Here is a 6,725-nt window from a genome sequence, read left to right on the forward strand (position 1 = left end):
ATGAGAAATAGTCGAATTCTGGATACATTTCAAAGATAGACATAATAGGATTTGCTAATTGCCTACATTTGAGGAGTGAGAGAAAGAAAATGCAGGAATAATCCCAAGATTTAGACTTGAGAATTTGGAAGATATTTTGATGACAATGTACTGAGATGAGGAAGACCTTGGGGCAGACGTGACAGGTAGCAGTTGAGTGCATGAGGTGAGCTCAAGGCTGGAAATAGAAATATGGAAAATGCCTTGCATAATAGCTGGCAACTAGTGGGATAGTGGGCAGGGATTTCCTGTTGGGTACAATTTTGGGCATATCTGGGCTTGCCTAATCAAAGTCCTATTTTCATGTAAATGAAGGAGCCTCCTAGGAAGAAAGTTGTGCTGAAATTGACCCAATAGAAAATTCTTTAGCCCTTGACAGAGAAGGAAGATTCTGAACAGCATGGATACCATCACTCGAATTTATCTCCTAACCCAAATTCTGTAGATAGGCAATCAGGGAAGATGTAAGTAAAAACTAAAGGGCGTCTGAGCATGTAGCACTGCCTTGGGGCTGACCCTATGGACTGACTTCTTGAGGCACCCCTAATAGAAACCCATGGAACCGTGGCCACACAAGAGATAAGTGTCTGGAAAAGTAGCATAAGCTCTTGGTGGAAATGGACTTCTTCACCAGTTAATGTAAAAGAAACCCTCAGACAACCTTTTGTGGGTGATTTTACAAGGTGTTGAGGTCCTATGTTAGGCAGTTGTAGGCAAAATCAGTGAGGTATGTATTACTATCCTAATCTGACACAGTTGGCTCCATTTGGGGAAGAAAGATCTGGTTGTAGTATATATTATCACTAATGAAAGGGATTGAGAAAAGAAAAGTAGTAAGAGTATAAAAGAATAGATTATTTCTGCTCTTACATCTGAGAAATTGAAAGGAAATATCACATAGCAGAATCCTTGGCAACCAGAAGAATTCAATGTAGCTATAGTTATGCTTGAATATACAAATATAATTAACCTAGTCCTGAGAACTGCATATAACCCAAAATCATCCAAGCTAGGCAAAAGATGTTAAAGTAAAAAATTAATTTTACAAAGCTATATATTTTTAAAAGGCAATTATTTTTGAAAATGATCCTTTGTTGGGTAGAGAAAGGGAATACATAATAAAGCTAAAAATGTCCAAACATACAACATAAAATTGTTGCAGTCTAATAACTAAAAAAGCCAATATTACTGTTTTGTACATTATTTTAGAAGAAATGAGTATATTTAGTAGGAGCATTGCTCTGCTCCAGTGTCATTGTATAAGAATTAACCTTGAATATCAAGTGGCATTTGCCCAACATTTTTCATCTGAATATCTAAAACTGTTTAAAAACTAATTATAAAACATCATTTATGGGTCATTAAATACATCTATTTCTAATAGGAAAATAAGTTATTTATTTAGACTATTCAAATGAATACCAAATGCAGTGTATAAAAAGTCACAAGGTAAAGAACCCGTCAAGAAACAAATGTAACACCATTGTGAGTAGTTTATATCAAAAATCCATTATTGATCTATAGCAATAATACTTACAGTGTCAAGGTATATTTTTTCCTAACTTGATTTTATTCTCTTGTCAAAATGTAATGCTATAAATATGAAAGTGTTCTAGGTTAAACGTAGCCTCAACTGTATGTATGTGTACTAGTCCATTTTCATCCTGCTGATAAAGACATACCCAGGACTGGGTAATTTATGAGGGAAAGGGCTAGGCGCAGTGGCTCACGCCTGTAATCCCAGCACTTTGGGAGGCAGTCAAGAGATGGAGACCATCCTGGCCAACATGGTGAAACCCCATTTCCACTAAAAATACAAAAAAATTAGCTGGGTGTGGTGGCATGTGCCTGTAGTCCCAGCTACTTGGGAGGCTGAGGCAGGAGAATCACTTGAACCCGGGAGACGGAGGTTGCAGCCAGCTGAGATCGCGCCACTGCACTCCAGCCTGGTGACAGAGGGAGACTCTGTCTCAAAAAAAAAAAAAAAAAAAAAAAAAAAAAGAAAAGAAAAGGAGGTTTAATGGACTCACAGTTCCATGTGGTTGGAGAGGCCTCACAATCATGGCAGAAAGCAAAAGGCATGTCTTACACAGCAGCAGGCAAGAGAATGAGAGCCAAGCAAAAAGGGAAACCCCTTATAAAACCATCAGATCTCATGAGACTTATTCACAACCATGACAAAAGTATGGGGGAAACCACCCCCCATGATTCAATTCTCTCCCACAGGGTCCCTCCCACAGCATGCGGAAATTATGGGAGCTACAATTCAAGATGAGATTTGTGTGGTGACACAGCCAAACCCTATCAGTATGGAATGCACTTATGCATACCTAGAGTAATAAAGGAAAAGAAATAATAATAATAGCTGGTATATATAGTACTTACCCTGTGTCAGGCACTACCTAATCTGTTTTTAGAAATAACTTCTTATTTAAATTTGTTTGTCAATCCAATGAAGGAGGTAATATTATCATTCCTATTTTACAGATAAGGAAACTAAAGGACAGAAAGACAAAATGCCCATTCATACACCTAGTACAGGGTATTTGATTTGAACCCAGACAGTCTAATGAACTTGTGCTCTTAACAACTACAGACAAGATTTGCAATGAGACCTTAAGTTAACATCTTACTAGTGTCATTCCCCTGGTCCAGTTATTTATCCTCTTTATGTCCCAATATTTTCATCTGTAAATAGGAATAATTTTGTGTATACACATACATATATATACACACATATATATGTCACAAGATTATTATGAGAGCATAGTGAGATAATGAATTTGAAAAGGTTTGGTGCTTGTCATCACTGCTGCCAACTGACCTAAGCTAACATGGCCTCAAATGTCAGGTTCCTTTGATAAATATTGAAGCCTCTTGCAGTTAGAGCTGAGTTATGCAAAGGCTATGTTCCCCTCCCTTACAAACCCAGTACCTGATAGTATGCTATTATGAAAGTAAGTCTTGGACAAATTTTGCTAAATGTCTTAACATTCATTAGCAAACAATTACAGAAACATTCCTGCTTTCTACTCTTAGACGCTCCAATGGTAAGCTCACTAAACAGACATTCTAAAGTTAAGACTAGCAGCCTTGAAGTCAAGGCAGAAAACGGGGACCTCTTGTGAGGTGGCAATTCCCTTGAACACTACACCAGCAGTAATAGAGATCTGAGGATGTCTGCTTCTTTATACTTCATTCATGCAATAGCAGGAGGCTGTGTTCAATCTCCCCACAAGCCATTCACCATGAAAATTACTCATTTTGCCAGTGAAAATGATTCTCTAACATGCCCTGTTCTAATTAACAAACTCTCAGGTATCAATTTCCATAACCATATCTGAAGTGTTAACCATCACCTTTGGAGTGTGGATTCTTGGTTAGAGTACTTCAGCACTAATTAACTGCTTCTAGAATATGGACTACAGTTAACTTGTACATTGTCACATACGTAAAACTAATTTATACCAAATTAAAGTATCATCACACAACAATGTAACAGTGACATGTTTGCTTAATAAATATAGCCCCTCCCTCTTTCTGAATCCTTTATCTTTGTCTATCCCCACACCCAACACATAGCCCCAGTAGAATAGGTGGCTAGAGGTTTTGGAGCCTAAATGTTTTTGGAATCTAATCAGGAAGTGTGGGATTATAGAAAATTCTATATCATTTCTCCCCAAGAAATAAAAAAGCTCATCATATATATAAATTGATATATTTAGAACAGTATAGCAAGGTTGAGATTTTTCCACATAATATAAATGATTATCTCTAGCTACACAAACTGTTGCTTTTTATAAGACACTTGAGTAAAGCTTGCGGGGATAGAGAGACATAGTCCATTATGCAGTATTACCCACAATACTGAAATTGTGGATATTCCTTTAGTCTTTTATCTATGCATGGGTTTATCAGGCAATGTATATGTATGAATTTGTGCATGATTTTAAAGATCCCATGACTCTCCAAAATAATTGCAGTTTATTTTATTACTATGAAAGATAGCATGTTCTTGCTGTAAAAAAATTAAACGATACAGAGAAGAATTAAAAAGAAAGTTAAAAATCTTTTAAAATGCTACCATGAGTGATGAGCACTAAAAACCAATCTCTCTGTCTTAACACACGTGCATAATTATCAAAGAGATCATGGTGAAGACTTGGGTTAAGAAGTGGAAAAAGTCATAGCAAAGTTCAAAGCCTTCTAAGCAGTGCAGGCTTACATTTGCTTCCAAGTAAAAGTTCCTGTTCTGTGGCAAACCACTTCTCTGGACTTTTGGTGCAAACGTGTAGTGTGAATTGAAAAGTTTTAGAGTTGTAGCTCTAAGGAGCTAACCTGGTCTGCACAATAACACAAAAATCATCTCTGTGACGGCAGACTTTCCCTTTTGCTGATTATTTTCAGGAAAGTAGAGAAAAAATATTAAATCATTTCAAGACCAAGATAACATTGCTCATTCTTGGGAGTTGTATGTGTATAACAGGGATTACGCAAGCAACCAAAAAAACCACTGATTTTGCTTGCTCGTGGGGTTTCCTCTTTCTTGTTGTTGTATTCAAAACTCAGTCTAGCTCACAGAGACCCAGAAGAAGATGAGAAGCAGGCCTTAGACATGGTTACCACTTCAAACTGGAGAAAGGTCTCTTTGTTTATTGTCACTACATTGATCAAAAAGTTGCCTATGAGACCTGGATAAGACACTGCTTATCTCAGATTCCTATAATGTAAAGACATGCTAGTAGAAATTAGGCAGCCTGGACAAAATTTGAATTTATGTATGAGTATTTTTAAGGTTATTTGTGTGTGTGTGGCAATAGTAATTCTGCCTTATGGTTCTGTAATGGTTTTTGTTTGTTTGGTTGGTTGGTTGGGCTTTTTTGAGATGGAGTTTCACTCTTGTTGCCTAGGCTAGAGTGCAATGACAATCTCAGTTTACTGCAACTCCGCCTCCCAGGTTCAAGCAATTCTCCTGCCTCAGCCTCGCAAGTAGCTGGGATTACAGGCATGTGCCACCATGCCAGGCTAATTTTGGTATTTCTAGTAGAGACAGGGTTTCACCATGTTGGTCAGGCTGGCCTTGCACAACTGACCTCAGATGATCCGCCCTCCTCAGCCTCCCAAAGTGCTGGGATTACAGGCGTGAGCCACCGCGCCTGGCCCGTATGTTTGTTTTTAATGATGGGGCCTCGCTCTGTCACCCAGGCTGGATTGCAGTGACCTGACTATAGCTCTTCACAGCCTCAAATTGTGGGGATCAAGCTATCCTCCCACCTCAACTTTCTGAGTAGGTGGGGCTACAGGTGTGCCTGGAATGTTTCTTTACTTTTTGTTTGCATTAGAAATATTTCCCCACCTCATTCCATTTTCCATCTCTCTTAATTTTCTAAAATACACGTGTTTTCTAAAACCAGGTCTAAACCCCACCTACAGCTAAAATCCTCCAATAACTTCCCATGACTTTGGTGATAAAATAAAAAATCATTAGCAGAATTGAGAAATCCTTCCTGATCTGACTCTTAACTTCTCTCCCCCAAGTGGCATGAAAGCATCATTTGGATTCTGAATTCCATGACACCAGGTATCAAGTTTTCTACCAGTCAGAATCACTACTTATTTACAGACCATATTTACAGAGGGAGACAATATGGAGAGGTTCTTGCTCTATTCTTGCCATAACACCATGTCTTCAATTTCACAACTAGATATATAGTTCCTATCCCTCTAATTCCCTTCTCCTCTCCAGCGCTTTTTCACTTGATCAACACCTAGCTGATTCTAGCCTCAGCAAAGACCTCACCTGCTGTATGTAGGCCGGCTCTGCCGTTTCCAGAATGGGTTAAGTATGCTCTCTTGTGTGTCCATATCTACCTGTGCTTTCCTATATCCAGATCTCCAACAGCCCCTGTTGTAACATCCTTGTCATCACCATCTCACAGCTCTTACCACTGTAAGCTCCTTGGGGCCAGTGACTGTGTTTTTATTTCTGTATTACTAAGGTGAATATACAAGGCAGGAATTTAATATTAGCTAGTTCATTTGATCCTGCCAAACCTCTGTAATTAAGGAAGCAGAAAAGGTCCCATAGTCTCATTCAATAGGTGGCTGAGGTTTAGAGAGTTTTGTATCCTGTCCAAGGTCTTACAGCTAGTTAGAAACAGAAACTAAATTCTCAACTTGAGTCCTGTATTCTTTCTACTATTCTCCCTCTCAATCCCTCTCTCTCTTTCTCTCTCTCTCTCTTTCTCTCCCTCTCTCTCTCTCACACACACACACACACACACACATACACGCTTACATGTTTCTACCATCGTGAATGAATTCTAGGTCAAGTTTATGATGTTAACCAGATATTCCAACCACTATGTGTTGATATGACTCTAAAAAGAAAAAGATTTCTGAAAGCATTTTGCGAGGCATTTATAGAAGTAAGAGATATTTTCATTTTATCACCGCAACCTCCATTAAAAATTGGAGACTATTATTCCTGGAGACTTCAGAATTTTCTTTGGAAATATCTCCCAATTCAAAAGGAAGTCTGACACAGCCTCATAAAAATCTATGTCGTAATAGGTGCTGTGTCACTGAAAACCACTGAAAAGACAGGGTTAAGAACACAAAGTGAGCTGCACACCATATATGGAGAAACCCGTTTCTTAAAACTAGTGATGAACTCATGCTCTGTT

The sequence above is a fragment of the Homo sapiens genome, chromosome 12 (genome assembly GCF_000001405.40).
Source record: "Homo sapiens chromosome 12, GRCh38.p14 Primary Assembly".
Lineage (NCBI taxonomy): Eukaryota > Metazoa > Chordata > Mammalia > Primates > Hominidae > Homo > Homo sapiens.